General features: G+C 43.6%; 1 long non-coding RNA gene and 1 pseudogene across 3 annotated transcripts; one reads left to right on the forward strand and one right to left on the reverse strand.

The window, feature by feature from the left end:
* Window positions 1-1,814: 1,814 nt before the first annotated feature.
* Window positions 1,815-19,237, reverse strand: LOC105371442 (uncharacterized). 2 transcript variants are annotated; one of them, XR_001738235.2, is made up of 3 exons: window positions 19,140-19,237; window positions 18,289-18,468; window positions 1,815-1,878 (listed from the first exon to the last, which is right to left on the reverse strand). It is a non-coding gene; the product is annotated as an uncharacterized LOC105371442 (long non-coding RNA). The 2 variants fall into 2 exon arrangements; XR_007066626.1 differs by lacking the exon at window positions 1,815-1,878 and adding an exon at window positions 10,527-10,594 and having other exon boundaries at window positions 19,140-19,167.
* NBPF18P (NBPF member 18, pseudogene) lies at window positions 9,927-14,158 on the forward strand (annotated as a pseudogene). Its single transcript, NR_103561.1, has 6 exons — window positions 9,927-10,177; window positions 10,276-10,486; window positions 11,886-11,988; window positions 12,819-13,033; window positions 13,251-13,401; window positions 14,086-14,158. The product of NR_103561.1 is annotated as an NBPF member 18, pseudogene (transcript).
* Window positions 19,238-19,682: the final 445 nt, after the last annotated feature.

Genomic DNA, 19,682 nt, shown 5'->3' on the forward strand with positions numbered 1-19,682 from the left:
TGACAAGTATGAGTAAAACTGTTCTAAATACTTGGATGCGAGTTTTTTGAGTAAGCATGTTTTCACATTACTTTGGTAAATACCTAAAACTGCCATTGCTGGATTATATTGCGATACTATGTTTAGCGTTGTAAAAAAAAACCTGCCAAACTGTTTTCCAAAGTGACTACCATTTTGCATTTCCACTGCAATGAATGAGAGTTCCTGTTGCTCTACATCTTTGACAGCCTTTGGTATTGTCCCTTCTTTGGATTTTAGCCATTCTATTAGGTGTATAGTGATATCTCATTGTTTTAATATGCAATTTCCTAGTGACAAATGATTTTGAGCATCTTTTTCATATGCTTATTTGCCATCCATATATCTTTTCCGGTGAAGTGTCCAGATCTTTTGTCTATTTTTGAATTGGGTTGTTTGCTTTTTTATTATTGAGTTTTAAGAGTTCTTTATATATTTTGGACACCAGTCTTTCATCAAATCTGTATTTTGCAAATATTTTTCCCAGACTATAACATGTTTATTCATTCTCCTAACAGTGTCTTTCACAAAGCAGTTTTTAATTTTAATGAAGTTCAACTTATCAATTTTTTGTTTCCTGGATTGTGCTTTTGTCATTGTATCTAAGAAGTCATCACCAAACCCAAAGTCACCTAGATTTTCCCCTATGTTATTGTCTAGGAGTCTTACAGTGTTTTTTTTGTTTTTGTTTTTTTTTTTTGAGACAGAGTCTTGCTCACCCAGGCTGGAGTGCAGTGGTGCCATCACGGCTCACTGCAACCTCTCCCTCCTGGGTTCAAGCAATTTTCCTGCCTCAGCCTCCTGAGTAGCTAGGATTACAGGTGTGCGCCAACATGCCTAGCTAATTTTTGTATTTTTAGTAGAGACGGGGTTTCACCATGTTGGCCAGGCTAGTCTTGAACTCCTGATCTTGTGATCCGCCTGCCTTGGCCTCCCAAAGTGCTGGGATTACAGGTGTTAGCCACCACGCCCGGCCCGAGTCTTACAGTTTTGCACCTTACATTCAGGTGTAAGATCCATTTAGTGAAAGGTGTAAAATCTGTGCCTAGATTTATTTATTTTTCGCATGTGGATGTCTAGTCATTCTAGCACCGTTTGTTGAAAAGACTATCCTTGCCCTGTTAAATTGCTTTTGTGCCTTTCTCAAAGATCAGTTGACTATTTATGTAGGACTATTTCTGAGCTCTGTGTTCTTTTCCAGTAACCTATTTGTCTGTTTTTTCTTTCTTCACCAATTCCACACTGTTTTGGTTACTTTAGCTTTATAATTAGTACTGAAGTTGGCAGTGTCAGTTCTCTGGGGATTTTTCTGATCTTTACTATGAGTACCTGGTTGGGCTCCTGGTGGTAAAACTTAGAAAACTGTGAGTTCCCCCTAAGTCTGGGCCCCAAGTTTTTAATGCTCAAGCCAGGCCACCCTCAGCTTCTAGAAATCTGTCAGTATCATTTATGTGCTCTTTCCAGTTGCTGGCTTCAGCATGTTCTCTTCCTGCTAACCTCTGATTCCCTGTATTTGCCTGTCTGTTTAGTTTTCAGGGTGGCAATTTGCCCTGTGACCTCTCCTCTAGTCCATCTAAGAAGGGTTGATAATTTTCAGTTTGTTGAGCTTTTTTCTTGTTGTGAGGACAAGTGGTGACTTCCTAACTCTTTACATGTTGGAGTAGAAACCGGAAATTTCATTTAAAAAATTACTTGTAATAAAAGTCACTAACTGTAAATGTAGAATTTAGTCATTTAAGTAGATATATAGAATTTTGCAGCCATCACCTCAGTCCCCTCTTAGAATACATTTCTTACCTTCCCAAATTCTCCAGAGCCTCTTTGCGGTTATTTTCTAATCCCTGGTCACCATGATGGAGCCTGAACAAAATAAAAATTTGGAAAACAGACAACATTAAATTTAAACTTTTATTAGATTGGAATTTTATGTAATGGACCATTGTCTTACTTTTGTGGCAACTAGAAGAGATATTGTATTCTAAGGACTTTCTTTGGGGGAACTTAATAGTAGTCCTGTTTATTGCTGTCCTTGAATTGGTTCATTCGTGCTGCTGACTGATAGTTGCTATCAAACCTTATCTGGTGAGCACAAGTGAAAGAGCTAAAAAAAAAATCTTCTATTAGAAATGTAGATGATGAATTTACAGATAATGTTATGTGGAGTTAAGTATTTTTTTTTTTTTTTTGAAACAGAGTTTTGCTCTTGTTGCCCACGCTGGAGTGCAATGGCACGATCTTGGCTCACCGCAACCTCTGCCTCCCGGGTTCAAGGGATTCTCCTGCTTCAGCCTCTGGAGTAGCTGGGATTACAGGTATGCGCCACCGCGACCTGCTAATTTTGTATTTTTAGTAGAGACGGGGTTTCTCCATGTTGGTCCGGCTGGTCTTGAACTCCCAACCTCAGGTGATCCACCTACCTCAGCCTTCTAAAGTGCTGGGATTACAGGCATAAGCCACTGTGCCCGGCCAGGAATTAAGTATTTTACCATCTTTTTTCTTTCAGAAATTTGGTTGGTAACATTGAAGAGACACTTCTCACCTGCCTGAAATGCCCTTCATTATCTTTTCAGGTTGCAAGGGCTCTGGAACAGCCCTTGCAGTACTCACATAAAGGTGAGTGTAACACTTTACTGTAGTCCTGTGCTTTTCTACTTTTTTGTGCTTACAAGGATTAGCATACGTGTATGTGAAAATATAAAATCAAGAGTAGAAGCCAGGCACGGTGGCTCATACCTGTAATCCCAGCACTTTGGGAGGCTGAGGCAGGTGGATCACAAGGTCAGGAGTTCAAGGCTAGGCTGGCCAAGATGGTAAAACTGCATCTCTACTAAAAGTACAAACAATTAGATGAGTGTGGTGGTGGATGCCTGTAATCTCAGCTACTCGGTAGGCTGAGGCAGAGAATTGCTTGAGCCAGGGAGGCAGAGGTTGCAGTGAGCTGGGTTTGCACCACTGCACTCCAGCCTGGGAGACAGAGTGAGGCTCCATCTCAAAGAAAAAAAGAGTAGAGATAGGCATCTGTAACTAGTTTTCTGTTGCTGCCTATTAACACATTATAACAAGTTAGTGGTTTGAAACCACAGAAATCAGGAATGAAGTGATTGGGTTCTCTGATCAGGGTCTTAGGAGGCTGAAATCCAGTTATGCGTTGCCTGTGCTTTCATCTAGAGCTCAGGCTACTCTTCCAAGTTCACTACAGATGTATTGGCAGAATTCATCTTCTTGTCGGTGGAGGACTGAGATCCCTTTTTCTGTGCTGGCTCTCAGCCAGGAGACACCCTGATTCCAGACGCCACCTGCATTCTTTCTCACTTGGCCTTTCCCACCATACAACCAACAACAGCTCACGGAATTCTTCTCAAGCTTCCATCCTCTCTGACTTTGTCTTCTCCTACCCACTAGAGAAAGCTCTGGCACTTATGGAGTGATGTGATGAGATCTGGCCCAGTCAGGAAAGCTCAGCCTTTGTATTAGTATGTTCTTGCAATGCTATAATTAACCACCCGAGACTGGGTAATTTATAAAGAAAAGAGGTTTAATTGGGTCATGGTTCTGTGGACTGTACAGGCTTCTGCTTCTGGGGAGGCCTCAGGAAACTTACAATCATGGCAGAAGCAGGAGAGAGAGAGAGAAGGGGGAAGTGCTACACACTTTTAAACAACCAGAACTCGTGGAAACTATCACGAGACACCACTTGGGGCGTGGTGCTAAGCCATTAGAAACCACCCCATGATCCAATAACCTCCTGCCAGGCCCCACCTCTAACATGCAGGATCACAATTCAACATGAGATTTGGGTGGGGACACAGAGCCAAACCATATCACTCTTTCAAGTCATATAATTGCCATGTAACAACATGATTACAGGAATGATGTCTCACCACCTTAACAGGTCCCAGAGAGAAGGGTACAGCTTTTTGGAGACCATTTTAGAAATTCTGGTTATCACAGTTCAACTTCTCGTCCCCAGACATTCACGTTTCTCCCAGATGCAAAATACATTCATCCTCTCACCTAAGGTTCCCGAGTTTCATGTCATTAATGCATTAGTTCAAAGCGAAAAATGTCATGTAGATCTTATCTGATCAAAAGTTTAAAATCTCATCTAAATCTTCTATACCAAGTGTGAACGAGGCTTCTGAGGGTGTCCATTAAGTACAGATCCTTTTCTTTTTTTTTTGAGGGAGTCTCTCTCTGTTGCCCATGCTGGAGTGCAGCAGCACAACCTTGGCTCACTGCAACCTCCACCTCCTGGGTTCAAGCAATTCTCTTGCTTTAGCCTCCCGAGAAGCTCGGATTACAGGCATGTCCACCACACCCAGCTAATTCTTTTGTATTTTTAGTAGACATGGGGTTTTGCCCTGTTGGCCAGGATGGTCTCGAACTCCTGACCTCAGGGGATCCATCTGCCTTGGCCTCCCAAAGTGCTAGGATTATAGGCATAGGCCACTGCACCCAGCCCAAGTACAGATCCTTGACATAATTCCCTTACCTCTGCTGAGCTGTGAAATTGAACAAAGCTTATCTGCCCTCAACGTGCAATGGTGGGACAGTCATAGAATAACAATGCTAGTGATTCTTGTTCAAAAAGAGGGAAAGTGGAAGGAACAAAGTCACTGACCCAAAACCATTTTGAAATGGGGCTGAGCAAAATCCAGCAGGAATTTCTTGATTAGGATCCACAGCCTGGAACTAACCCTCTGTGTGTGACATGGGGCTTTGCCTCTGGGCTCTGCATTTCTTTCTGTCCTTTATTCAAATCATTTTATTTTCCTTCTCCTTGAACTCCTTTGGTTCTTCACCTTTCTCTTTATGGCAGCATCCTCCCCTTAATCCTTGGTGCATCCTCCCTAGCAGAATTGGTCAGATATTGCCCATGTCATGGTCCTGACCATCTCCATGTGGGGCTGTCCTCGTGACCCCCTGCTCCTTTGGGACCCTGTTCACTGACCTGACCTCTCTCAGTCATGATTGCTTTCAGCTGATCTGGCTGGCTTAGAAGAAAACCTAGGACTGTAGAGTCCCAGAACCAATCTCTGCCCTTCAAGAGAGGAAGAAAGTAACAGGGATCTTCATCAAGAAATGACCTACATGAGGGCCTGGACTCTCCAGCAGTTACAGCAGTTACAGCAGAGGAAAGTTTCTGAAGCAGAATGGAGGGGCTGAGATCCCAGGCTGGGAAAGCAGGATTGTGTCAAGCACTATTTAATCCTTATGTGCTCCCTGCCCCGATCTACCAGCCAGCAAATGACAACTGACCGCGTATAAATACTAGGACTACAGAACCGTGATAAAGGGTTTGTCCAAGGAAAGGCCCTTTCACTATTTTTGCTTTCACGGTGGAAATTGCTATTTTTGATCCAAAGTTTTCTGAAATGCAGCAGTGAGCTCCTGGAGGGTGAGTTAGGTGCTTTGGACAGGGAGGCTGAGGCCAAGGCTTGTGTGGTCGATTTGCTGCCACCATGTGGTGAGGCAGCCTGGGAGCGTCTTAGTCTTTCTTGGCTTCACTTTCCTTGTCAGTAAGGTAGGGGCTTATTGTTCCTCTCTGAGGTCCCTTCCTGCTGTGTTTTCTCTGAGTCTCTGAGGAATGGAGATGGTTTTTAACACTGCCCATGACCTGCAGCTCAGACCTGCCTCTGTGTGTCTCCTGCAGGAGCCTGAGCTGAGTCCACACCCTGGAAGCCCAGAACTGAGGGAACAGATGGAAGAAAGAAAGTCAGCAGGTTTAGGGGATGAGAATAACCACAAAGGACAAGCCATTGGTAAATGAAAACCAAAGAAGGGGACAATAAGGACAAATTGGGTCAGAGGCTTCAGGGGAAATGGGAAATGCCCATCATCATCCAGACCCTCAGGGAGCAGTGGGAACTGAGCAGTGGGGACTGAGAGAGAATCTTACTCTCTTGGCTCAGAGCTGGTTTATAGTGAGGGGCAGCAGCAACTTCAAGAGGGGGAGGATGCGACCATGAGTCCCCGCCCCAGACCCAGGAGCCTTGACCTTGGGGCTGCCGTAGCAGTGGATGCTCTTCAGGTCAGTGTGGGTTAGAGGGAATAACCAGGCTGGGAGAAGGTTTGGAGACATCCATTCTTACATTAAACAGGTCTGCCCTAGGTCACGTGCCAGAGTAAGTGTCCCTTGCTTGTATATGAAGCAGTGATACTAATAATCTTCTTCTGTCCTTACAGTTGAGGAAGGTTTCTCATAAATATTTATTGGGTATTTAATTTTCTTTATATTGTGCTAAGCACTTGGGATTCAGATATTTAATGTCCCTCCAAAAGAACTCAAGCCAGTGAGGGGGAGAACACAAACAGATCATTTCAAAAAATATGGTAGTTCTACCAAACTGAGGTGTTGTGGCAGCCCAGAGGATGGGAGGGTATGTCAAAGGACATTGCTCCTAATGACAGGGGGAACCATAAGAGAAAATTTTTAGGACAGACCAGTCTTCCTCTAAGCTTCCACAGGGGAGGATCCTGGGGCATGGATGGTGTAAAGCAGGCGCCTCTCCAGGGAAGGGTATTTGCAGCATCCTGAGAGAAAGAGCATCCTTACAAGACATTTGGGACAGAAATGTAGGTGAGGGGATTGGAAGTTTGCAATCGCTTTTATTCAATCATTGATGAACACTGCTGAGAGGTCCCTCTGTGCTGGGCCCTTAGCTAAGAACCATGAACACAGAGATGAGTAAAATAGGATCTCAACTCTCATAGAATTCTCAGTCTAGTGACTGGTGAGTCATGAGAATTGTAGTGATGGTGGGTTCATTGGAACCAGTGGCCCATGCCACATGAGATGACCTCAGTGGATGGCCTGGTTCCCCTTCTGGTTGTCTCCAACAGCTGGATGACCTGTCCTGGGCCAGTGACCCTGGACTTCAGCCATATTTCAGCATCTCAAGGTACAGTATGCCAACACCTCAGCTCCATGTTGAGTCAAAGCAGTTAACACAGCCAAGGTATTCAGAGGACACTAATGATAACAGTAGCTACTGACTATTTCCTGGCCAGCTGGGGAAATAAAGAAGTAAGTTTAATAAGTCTTCTAAATTTGTCCTTGCCATTGTGATAAATAACTTTATCTTGACAATTAATTATATTATGGCAAATTAATTATAACTTGCCATAATGATAAATAACTTTATCCTGAGTAGAGCAGCGACACAAGCCCTTTAGGACACATGCCTGAGGCAATGACAGTCTAACTTTGAAACAGTGGAAGACCTAGTTTCAAATTCAAGTTTGCTTTGAGTAGAAATTAACTTTACCTCTTTTTGCATGGCAATGGGGCCAATCTTCCTTAAGCTGCTCCTTAAAAGAAAAGGAATCATACTGCTAAGAATTCAGACTTCAGCAGACATGGGTAAGTAAGGAAGTCTTATAAATCTATTCTAGCCTCCTAGCAAGAAACCAGAAATTTAGCAAGTTCATTGATGTTCAGGACAGTTGTGTTCACTAGATCAGAGGCACTGAGACATGAAGAACAGACCCCCTAGTAAAAGGGAAATAATTCCTTCCTGTCTTAGGACACCACTGCCAACTTCAGGGAAGTGGGAAAACAGCTGCTCACTCTACAGTATGGGTTGCCTTTGTGTCTGGAATGTGTCTGACGTCCTGATCCCTGTGCCTATTTCAGGGAGCATTGGGAGGAGCCCGAATCACTGATGGAATTGAACAGTGCGTGGAGACGGTTCAGCAGGACAAGGGTAAGTGCGGGGGCATGGCCAGGTCAGACAATGAGCAGCGCTGATGACAACAAACAAAGATAAAATCAAAAGTTTGTGCTTTGACTTCAAAAACTCAAACCAATAACTAATTTGCTCTTATAAGTAATAACAAGTATTTTTCTATTTACATGAGGATTTAATCTCAAAACAGAAATCATAAAAATATTAAGTCCAGGGCATAAAACCTAAACCATAGCTTATATTTATTCTTTCTAAATAGAGCTAACAGTAAAATCTTCTTCATGAAACATAAATTGTGATTATAAAGAGGCAAAAGTCTTAGTGAGAATCATTGGTATTCCATAGAAGAGTGAATTAAACACAGCAAAGGGAAGACCCAGGTCTCATACTTCTCTTGCATATTCCAAAGTTCCAGGGAAATTCCAGGTGATAGAGGTTATTTCCCATACTGTTAAAGCAAGGTTGCAGACACTTCTGAATTTTGGTCCCAGTACTCTGGAAGGGCACACCTCTGTCCTGGAAAATAATACAGGAAGGAATACTCTTCCCGTGACTCATTCTGGTCATTCTTCCAGCATCACAAAAACCAAAAAGTAGAAATATGGCCAAATACATGATTAGCTATCCCTCTTGTTCAGGTTTCTTAGCTGATTCTTATGGATAATAGCATTACCTTAAGGATTATGATGAAGATATGATGTCCAAATATGTGGACAGTTTTGAGCAAAATGCCTGGTATGAATTGGTCAATGAATAATTACTGAATAATTATATGAATATTTACTGAATATGGATCCTATGAATAATTACTGAATAATTGTTGTGATTGCTTTTATTGGCAGTGCTCAAAATTCATCCCTGTGTGACCTCAAGTAAGCCACATAACTTTGTGATCCTGCAGTTTCATCATATTTAACAGGAAAAAACTTGACAGATTTTCATTCTGCCACAGAATGTCAGGTCTCCCAGACACCAGAAAATACATTGACTTAAAAAGCCTTTGATACATCTCAAAGCAGTATCCCTACGCAGTATAGTTGGAAGATGGTGGGCGCTGTAGAGAGGGATGCTTTCAAATGGGATTGATCCAGTCCTCCTTCCTTCACTTCCACATGAATGCTGGGCAGCCCAGGGTCACACCCACTGCACCCTCAACTCGGGCAAGTCCAACAGCCAAACTGAGGAGACCTGGGCTACAGAACAGTCTCTCAAGTTCCAGGCTCACAAAACCTAGGTGGGAATGAATGCCGAGAAAGTGAGGAGGTGGTTCAGGGGATCTCTCTCCCCTACTCATTCCTCTCACGTCAAACTCACCTTCTACTGCACAGCAACACTGAGGATCACCAAATACCAACTACTAACACCAAGACCATGACCTTGATGTTGCCATGTTCTGTTAGTGGAAAGCAACCACACATCAGTTGTGTTAGTCCAACTCAGAAAAATACTTATCAAGCAATATTCCATAAGAACTGCTCATGGCCCTGTTCTTTTCAATATATGGGAAAACTAAAGGAAAACAACAAAATAGTATCAGGTTTGCAAGACTTCCCAAGATCGATGGTCACACGTGTTTTCAGGAGCTCCCTATGTAAATGATTTTGATCACTTGATACCTTGAAAAGAGCTCTTATGGGCCCAGAATGACATCCATAAGTGACAAGTATGAAATGTAGTGTTCAGTCACATTAAAAAACAAATCATCCCACATAGAGGAAGAGCTTTGGATGTAGGAATGTCAAACTGGTCTTAAATGTAATGAAAAGCCAAGATGGTGCCCCAGTAAGAAAAAAGAAATCAACATAACAATGGGATGCCCCAAGAAGAATACTGAGACAGGAAAGAAAACATTTTTAAAAAATTAATTATTCATTCACTTTCTGGTGGATACAGAAAAAACTGCAGAAGACCCACAGGATATCATGGCAGTCTAAAAGTTTGATATCTTACACCGTGGAAAAGCCTTAAATTCTATTTTAACGTGAGAGAAGGTGGAGTGACTGACTTCATGACTACCATTTAGAAAATATAACCTGTTGGGAAACTATTTCTGCCTTGATGATTTTGTACACACAAGAAATGAACAATGAGGAAGATGCTTAGATGTATTGGGAAAGAGATGGGTCTGTGGCATTGTCACAAGGGTACAAGGGTACACATATACTGAGAGTGAATGCTGAAGGGAAGGCCCCCATCGGTGGTGACCTCTCGTGTGACCAGGGCGCCTGTGTTTCAGCAAAGCCTGGGCAATTGGAACGCAGGGCTCCTAAGATTCCATGACACCCCCACCTTCTAATTCTGTTATTGCAACTGCAGACCGTTACCTGGCATGCTGGCTGCCACCTCCCTCACTCTTGTCAGAGTCTGAGCTACAGGCAGTGCCTTCAGCTCTGAGCTCAGGCGTCTCAAACCTTGTTTTTGCGATTAAGGACTCTCAAGTGCTGTGGGGAGTGATCACGTTTTTCTCAACAGTAAGCTAAGAATTTTACTGACATCCCTCAGTCCTGATTAAACCTATTTGATTTCACCAGTTTTTAACCCATCATGTGTTTGGGTTTCTTCTCCCCAGTCCCTGGCTCCACCTCTTCTGCCACAAACATCAGCATGGTGGTGTCTGCCAGCCCTTCATCCAGTGTGAGAAGACAGAGATGAACACTGGAGAAATCAACAAGAAATTGCGCCCCCAGCCGGCAGAGAACAAACAGCAGTTCAGAAACATAAAGAGAAATTTCTTGTAACTCAAGTGGCCTAATTCCTGGCCAACCAGCAGAAGAAATACCGTAAGTTCGATAGGCTCACCATCACAAAAGTGAGGAATGATGTCCTGTCTTCTCTCTGAGAAACTAAATGCTCTCTCCATCAAAAATAATTTCATCTTTCCCGTGCTTCTAGGAAAATAGAAATGGGTATTTTAACATTTTGTTAGAAATGGAAGACAGAGGCAGAAAGTATTTAGCAACTTTTCCATGTTTGCAGTCAGGTGGCGGTGGGATTAGAGTTAAAAATCCCAGTTCTTGATTTCTGACACAGGCACAGCACCACCTGTTTTCTCAGCAAGAGGCTAAATCATGTTACTAGAATCCTCTCTGTACCATAAAAGATTCTGCAGACAAGTAGCATCTAGTCTGTTGGTCTAAATATGTGGGACTCATGAACTTCCATTCAGTTCAAGTCTCTGTTGAGGCCCAATAGGCAAAGCTCTGTTCTGGAGACCCTGGAGGAAACATGGTGTTAGTACACAGTACCCGCACTGAGGAGCTTAAAGAGAACTCTGCTCCTAATAGAACCTGTGGTATCTATGAGTGACAGCATCAAGAGCAGGGAGTACCCTGGTGAGAGGGAAGTCCTGCTTCCTAGGGCACTGGCTCTTGTTCCTAAAAAGGAAGAAAGACGGCACCCAAGACTTTGTGGAGGTAGCATGTGTAGAGCAGGGACCCTGGGCCAGTGTCCTGGGCTCCACCCAAGTTGCTTGTCTTCTCTGTTCCTCTGCTTCTTCATCTGTCCATAGGGTACTATAATAATACCTACCTCTGCAAATTGCTGCAATGAATTACATGACCTATTTCTTGTAAACCTCCTGGAACAGTTGTTGGCACAGAGTAAACACTATTAGTTCTTCATTCTACTGTTTCTAACTTAACAGAAACTTGATTAGTATTTCGGCATATTTCCTTCATGGCCTTATGGTCTTATGCCTCATATTTTATGCAGTTTATCCAGATAGTATTTTTAAAATCTTTGACATAGTTGTGCTTGAAATTCTCAGTAAAAGGGAAACTGTCAGTCTCATTGTCCTAGGGGCCTTACCAACTCTACGGAAAATCACTTCATGGCCCAGTGCAGTGTTTACAGGAGAGGCTGCAAGCCTTGGGAAAATGGCCCAGGATTCAGAGTCAGACCTCAGGGGTTGTGAATTCGGACTCCACTTCGTTGTGATTGAATCATCTTGTCAACTTAGTTGGTGTGCCCTTGAGTTTCTCTTTCTTCATCTCTAAATTTTGGAGGATTAGATGCCAGAAAGTTGGGAGACCAAAGAGTAAAAATATGGAAATCCCTGCCTAGAGCCTGGTACTGGGGACAGTTTTGTCCTTGGGATGGACCTGTCTCCTGCCCTGTAGGCAATGACCACAGCAGCATGTCTAGCCTTCCACTGAGGCAGGCGCGTCTGTCTTTTCTCAGAGTATGAAGAATTCAAAGACCTCATAAAATCTATGCTGAGGGATGAGCTGCAATTCAAGGACGAGAAGCTTGCAGAGCAGCTTGGGCAAGCTGAGGAGCTCAGGTGAGGCGGCCCCGTGGGGGCAGGCAGGTGGGCAGGTATGTGAATCTCTGAAGTACAGCAGCTCAGCCGGGAGAAATAAGAGCTAAGCTGGGCCAGGGGAAGGGCAGGAATTGCCATGGCAGGCTCACGACACCCAAATATTTATCAAACAGAGAACAAGGATAATAATAAGTTATGAGTTGCAGTTGTTTCTCAGAACCTTGTTTTCTCTTTTTCAAACAAGTAACTGTTGAGGTGAAACTTGCATAATGCAAAATTAACCAAAGGAGTGGAAACCACCCAGCAGCATTCAGTATACTCAAAATGGTGTGCCATCATCACCCCACTTACCCTTAGTCAGAATCACCTCCTGACGGACTGCGGCTTCTCATTCTTTCACTCAATCAGTGTTGCCTTCTCGACCCTGTCATTCTTTTCTTCTTTCGTCTTTTCAATTTGCCCCATCTGCACCTAGCCTCATTTCTGTACCTGGCTTTGTATCTAGTCACCACAAAATACCTTATGTGTATTTTCACATGGAAATGTCGATGGCCAAAGTGAGGAATTGAAAGGATGTCTTTTTGAAACTGATTTAGAAAGACCTACTTTTGTTTACAGAAGAGAAATATGAATGCAACATTGTCGAGGATATTTCAGTTGCACTCTCTGATATAGAGGAAGCCTGTAAAAAAAATTCTTTTTGTCTTGGCCACAGGCATTTCCCCAAACATGTGCTGACCTTCTGCTTGGAGGTCTCCTTGAGGACATTGTCTCAGAGATCTCTGTTGCAATATTAGAACTGATCACTCATCCCTTTCCATTATTAAATTTTCTCTACTGTCTCACCTTAGGCAATATAAAGTCCTAGTTCACTCTCAGGCACGAGAGCTGGCCTGGTTAAGGAAGAGATTACAGGAAGGGAGAGATGCCTCCCGCTCATTGAATCAGCATCTCCAGGCCCTCCTCACTCCGGATGAGCCTGACAACTCCCAGGGGCAGGATATCTGAGAGCAGCTGGCTGAGGGCTGCAGGCTGACAGAGAACCTCATCCACAAACTCAGCCCAGGTAAGGTGGCCACAGGCCCTGATGACACAAAACCCCAGGCTTATGAGAGACTCCAGACCTCCATACCTCCACAATGACAGTTGTATTGGTGGTGTTTTTTTCCACTAAACATATGTGGCCATGACATGACCAGGACTTCCTGGGTAACAACAGAGATGGGAAACCCATGGGATTGGTGGTCACAGTATTGTAAATGTCCCTCCTTCCTTGATGGAAGGTGGTCTTTGGAACAGGAGGCAGCATCTCTCCAGTTTTAAAGGACAAGAAGGAGGCTGTGACAGGAGGGCGCTTGTTAGAGTGAAAAGAGCTCTGGACTAAGCATGGAGGTTCCCAGGCTCTATCTTCAGCAACGTCCTTCGTAACTGTCGGTGAGTGATTGATTTATCCTTCCTGGGTTTCTCTCTCTCCATCTGCAAAGGCCGGCAAATTGTCTCTTGCAAGTGTCTTTAGCATTCAAATGTGGGAACACTTAACGACTGCTTTTCAAAATGAGATGAAGCTCCTTGCCGTGTGGTGTTGGAGAAGGCACTTGATGTGGGGGCATTTGGTGGTAGGAGTGCTTCAGACTGGAGTACTCTCCATGGAGAGAATGTCCCTGAATAACACAGCAGAAGCCACTTGGTGGGCCTGTGAAGTCCCCTGATGGACAGAGGACTGTGGGACAAGTTTGTCCTCTCCTAAGAGAAAGAATTAGTTTCGAAATGTGAACTGTGACAGGACACCAAGCCTGTGCCTGGGAATCAGATCTGTGGCAGGATGGCGGAGACAGCTGCCAAAGTCCAGAGAGAGGCTGGACAAGTCTCCAGGGATATGGGGACCAAAAGATGTTTTCAATATTTGGCCACATCTTGATGGTGGCCCTCCAGATCAGAAATGCATTGCCTGATGGATTAGGAAACTGTGCCAGGGCATTTTGTTAAAGATAAAACATGAGAGCTTTCAGTTGAATGGTGACCCATGCCTAGATGTTCATGTGTCTGCACACATTGGGCTGACTATGCTTGCAGAATGTGAAGTGAGAAATATCTGAATGAACATTCCTGTATTTACAGAAAATGATGAAGATGTGGATGACGATGTTTACGTTGAGGAGGCTGAGAAAGTGCGGGAATCACGTGCCCCCAGGTAACACTGAATAATCAGGAGCAATAATGGGTGGTAACATATGAAAAAGATCTAGGAGGCACACTCTCTCTGGCGTCTACATTGGGCCAAAAGCCTGCATTCCCCTGGCCACAATATGTTAAATTCAACCCAGCTTAGACACAGGGTGTGGCAGCTGTTATGGTTCTCTGTGTGTGCTGAGTGTCATGTCTGTACCATACAGGGATAGCTGAGTCTCCATCCTCCTCAGCTCCTATCTGCCCAGTGCAATGAACACCAGCTGCTGTCTTCCTCTTTGGCTCCCATAGCAGCCATGCTCTGTTGCAGAGAGTGGAGGAGTGCCTGTTCCCTCTTAAAGGGAACCTCCTGTTTGCTTTCTGGGACCACTCTCTTATGCTTCCTGTCAAAACTAGCTAGGACTCCCTGAGGTCCAATCCCTCTCTGTTTAATCTTCTGTTATGTCTGTGTCACCTGGCTCATCAGGGAGGTGCGAAGCCTGAAGAGAAGGAATTGATGAAATGATCATACAGATATGTATATTGCATATATCTATGCAATATACATATTGCATCAATATCCCATGATATTGCCGGCTCAATGAGGACAGAGTCCTCTCTCTATTATGATTTGGATTTGAAGGGAAGATGCCATGGGTCCTAAACATCGCAGCATGACCAGCGTGTGCTGCCCACGACCTGCAGTGCCATGGTCAGGTGGAAGTCATTTTACTTCAGTAGAGGACAGTGTTCTCTTCTGACCTTTTCCTCAGTGGCTAGATCTGTATCTCTCTCTCTCTTCTCCCATCTGCCCTCCGTTCCCTGCCCCGCTTTGTTTTTTCTCTCTGTTCCCACCCTGCTGGCCCCTTCCACCTGTTTTCTTTTCTTCAGCTTTCATCGTTCACCCCCCTCTGCCCACCCATATGCCCCAGGCTAAGTCCCCTGCACATTCCTGGGGAGGGGCGTAGATGTGTATGGTTTTAGGCAGTGCCCTCTAGATGTGTCCATGATGGGGAAACATGGCTCAGCTGCCAGTATAATGCTTTAAAAGAGTGGCCACTTTTGAAGGCCTTTTACATCTAGGATCCTCTATGACTTAAAATATATGGGCCACATTGGAATTCCTTGTTCCCCAGGACCTTGCAGTGGATGCCTTCTTTCACTGAGCATTCACAGGGTGCCTATTAGGTGCCAGGCCCTGCTCTGGGCTAGGGGCTCCATTGTGAGCAATCCTCAGTTCATTGCCACATGGAGCCCACCTCTGCAGGCATCAAGAGGGTGGGGCCGTCAACCACATCTACCAGTGCTAAGCATCAAGGACAATGAAGGCTGAGAATAGCCTGCTGGATTTGGCTATATGGTAGGTAAGGACTTGTTTGATTCTGGGGAAAGCAATTTCAGCAATGGGGAGGAGAAAGCAGCCTTGTTGCAGGGAGCTGAGGATGCTTAGTAGTGAGGAGATGAGGAGAACGGTGAGCTAGCATTTATGAAGCAACCTTTGCTTCCTATGTGATAATTACACTTTTCCCAACTTTCAGATTTGTGTTTCTTCCCTTGCCAGAAGTTAGTCTCTTTACAGACTGGACTTGCAACTTTCCGGAGTCATTGTCTTTGCTTGCATTCCTACCAGAATCCCTAGTGACTCTGCGGATCATGTTTAATGATAATGTTGACACTAAGTCATTGTGAGGGTAAAATATGAATCTGGTAACAGAAACGTTTTTCTCGGTGGAGAGAGGTGGGGCCGGGAACCAGGACTACTGATGCTTCTCTCTGCCCCCACTGTCTAACTTTACAGGCAGCTCAAATCACTCAGAATCCAGTTTGCGGCCAGTGCAGACTTGCCTCTCCCTCCCAGTCTTCTTTCTTGGTGGTGACTGGGAGAGATTTAGGAGATTAGGGAGGGCCAAGAAACAAAGCATGAATTATCACGGTTGCTGCACAGGTGTGGTCCTCTCAGTCTCTCTGCCTGAATTCCCAACACATCTCTCACCAGGTTGCTGGATGGTACAATAGGGTCATTGTAAGGTGGGTGGGTGCAGTGAGTCAATGAAGTCTTCCTGAGGTGCAGGGGGGCAGGGAGGGATCCTCTCCCCTATAGCCGGAGCTGGGTCACAAATTGGTGGTGGAATGCCCAGCTTCAGGGTCCATTTGCACGGCTGTATATTTCAATTATACACTTGGTTCTTTTTTTATATATATATACTTTTGTTCTTGTTTTATGCATTTGATCTATTGATTTATTTGACCATTTTAAACACACTCATGCTAACATCCTTCCAGATTGCTCTCCCTCTTGTTACTCAGTGTGAAGTCTCTAGTCTGTTGTATGTACTTGTCATCCCTCGTGTGCCTGTGAGCCTATTCTAAGTGTATTTATCTCCTGTGGACATCCTCCAAATGTCTGGAGGCATCTCCACGAGGTGGTTTTGCATTTGTCTAGGGTTTTATGGCGCTTACAACTCTGGGGTAGTTTTTGTTTTATTTCTTTAATAGCATGTGTTTGAACCCCATGCCTTCTGGGAACACAGGTGCAGTGCTCTGATTTCTCTCAGATGACTTTGCCTCGCTCCAGGGCTCATTCTGTGTCTTGAGAGGTGGTGGACTGAGCTTTCCAGTCTCCATCAGTGACAGGGCAGCTCTTTAGCAGCTCTCTCTTTTCACTAAGAGTTCAGTTCTAGTTCTCCACCATGGCCTGGGCCACGTGGCCTCCGCTCTGGGGCACCGTGACAGCTATCAGTTCCCTTTGTGCTTCCGGCACCTGAATAATTCTCTTTCTGCCTTTTAATTGACCAAGTATTTTAACTTTTTGAGGGGAAGGGGAAGATTCTATGTTATCCAGCATTATTTGCGGTAGGAAAGGGGCTTTCTATATCTGCTGCATACTAAATTTTGGCAGAAGTCCTACCACCATGGCCCAAATCTCCATCAAAAGAGATAGATATTTGCTTGATTTTTTTCTTCTTGTTTTTCTTCATTAAAAAAATGTACATTGGATTTAGCTATGATTTCTTGGATATGACACCAAAGCCACAGGAAATGTAAGAAAAAAACATATAAATTGGACTTCATCACAACGAAAAACTTTTGTGCATCAAAGGACACTATGAATAGAGTGAAAAGGCGACCCACAGAATGGTAGAAAATATTTGCAAATCACATATCTAATAAGGGCTTAATACCCAGAATATAAAAAGAACTCCTACAACTCAACAAAAACCAAACAACCCAATACAAAATGGGCAAAAGAATCAAATAGACATTTTTCCAAAGAAGATATACAAATGGCCAATAAGCACATTGAAAAGATGCTTAACATCACCAATCTTTAGGAAAATGTGAAAGGAAACCAAAATGAGATACTATTTCACATTCATTAGGATGGCTATTATTTTAAAAAGAAGAAAATAGCAAGTGTTGGTGAGTATGTGGAGACTTTGGAAACCTTGTAAGCATTGCTGGTGGGAATATAAAGTGGTGCTGCCACTGTGGAAAGATGTATGGTGGTTCCTCAAAAACTAAAAATAGAATTACCATATGATCCAGCAATTCTATTTCTGGGTTGTATTCCCGGAGACTTAAATCATTATTTATACACCTGCATTCATTGTAGCACTATGCACAATAACAAAAGGTGGAAGCAACCCAAGTGTCCATCAATAGATGAATGGATAAACAAAATGTGGCACACACACACACATACACACAAATATACACACAATGGACTATTATTCAGCCCTGAAATGGAAGGAAATTTTGACATATGCAACAACATAAATGAATCTTGAAGACATTATGCTAAGTGAAATAAGTCAGACACAAAAAGACAAATGTTGTATAATTCCACTGACAGGAGGTACCTAGAGTAGTCAGATGAATAGAGACAGAAAGTAGAATGATGGTGACCAGGAGGTAGGTGAGGGGAGAGAGGGAAGTTATTGTTTAATGGATGCAGACTTTCAGTTTGGGAAGATGGAAACGTTATGGAGGTATTGGTGGTGATGTTTATACAATGTGAATATACTTAATGCTACTAAAATGTACACTTAAAAAATGGTAACAGTGTTAAATTTTTATGTTCTGTATATTTAACCATAATAAAAAAATTTAAAATTTTCAATAACTCAAGAAAATACACACACAAAAAAAGTCTACCTGAATTAGTGTTGTCACTTTACTCTGTGTTCCCCTTGGTGGCAGGAGTAGCCATGCGGTAGAAGAATACCAATCTCAGCTTTCTGCAGTGTGCTGGATATTCTGTTTGCTCCTCCAGCTCCACTTTTGGTGCTTCTCTGCCCAGCTCAGACTTCCAGTAGGGTGGACCAACAGGAGGCACTTGCAGGCGATCAGAAGGTGGGAAGAGAGAGAAATCAATATTTATTCCCCGGGGTCCCTCCTGCCAGGCTGTGGTTTGACAGTGGCTGTATTTCTACATCTAAGGCCACAGCATCCGTGAGTGGCCCCTCTTCCTGGGCTATATGGCTCTTGAATTCCAATAATTTCTCCCTTGCCAGTCAGGCTGAGAGGTGGGAACAGCATCCTAATTTTGCTAGTCCTGGTGCTTTGCCATCTCTTGTTATTTATCTTATCTCTTACATCTTCATAAATAGTGCATTCCTTAAATTCTCTTCAGTGACCCGTTTGAGTGTGCATGTGTTTCCTGTGGGAACCCAGACTGATATACATGGTATGTCCCACATCTGGTATAGCATTCTCTTATCGCTTATTCATGTATCATATATTTTTTTCATTCAACAATTTTTTTTTGCTACTATATGCTGGGTACCACATTAAGTCCTAGCAATACAAAGATGCCTTTAATTAGGTCTCTGTTCTTGAGCTCAAAGTCAAGTTAGAAAAGACAGACAAGTAAGAACACTGTAAGTAGAGTGGCAAGTGCTATGATAGAGGCAAGAATGGAGTGCTCTGGAGCATAGAATAAGAGCATTAAAATCAGCTTTGGATAGGGGTCTTAGGAAAGGCCTTCTTGGGGAGATGATACTTACACTGCTCTACAGGGCAAGTAGAAACAGGTGGAAAGGCGGCCAAGGCCTTTCAGGGCAGCAAGAAGAGCGTGTGTCAAAGCAAAGAGGCACATCACTGTGACATCAGTTCTAGCCTTGGTTGGCAAGGTGGGCAGGGAGCAGACCACAAAGGCTCTTGAGTGCTCCAGGGAATCCTGTATATTCAGAAGGTCCAATGCCTGGTTTTACACATGGGAGCGATACCAGAACATTTGCCTTTAAAAACTCTCTTTGATCACACGGTGGAGAAAGGGATGGAAGAGGTCCAACTGGACAGGGAGAAGCTTAAGAGAGTTTATTGCAAAATGGTAGAGGTCCTCTTTTCTAAAGGGTAGGGACCTGTAGTTGGTTTGGCTAACTTAAAAAAATTGGTGAAAATGGATATTTATAAAAAGGATATTTAAAATATTTGCTTTAACTTAAAACATGTATATTTATCAAAATTTTGCTATATTATCTTTCTTGCATAAATCACACTCACAGTGGATTTTAGTACAATTGTAGCTACCTCTCAGATGTGTCCCT

Source organism: Homo sapiens, chromosome 1 (genome assembly GCF_000001405.40).
Source record: "Homo sapiens chromosome 1, GRCh38.p14 Primary Assembly".
Taxonomy (NCBI): domain Eukaryota; kingdom Metazoa; phylum Chordata; class Mammalia; order Primates; family Hominidae; genus Homo; species Homo sapiens.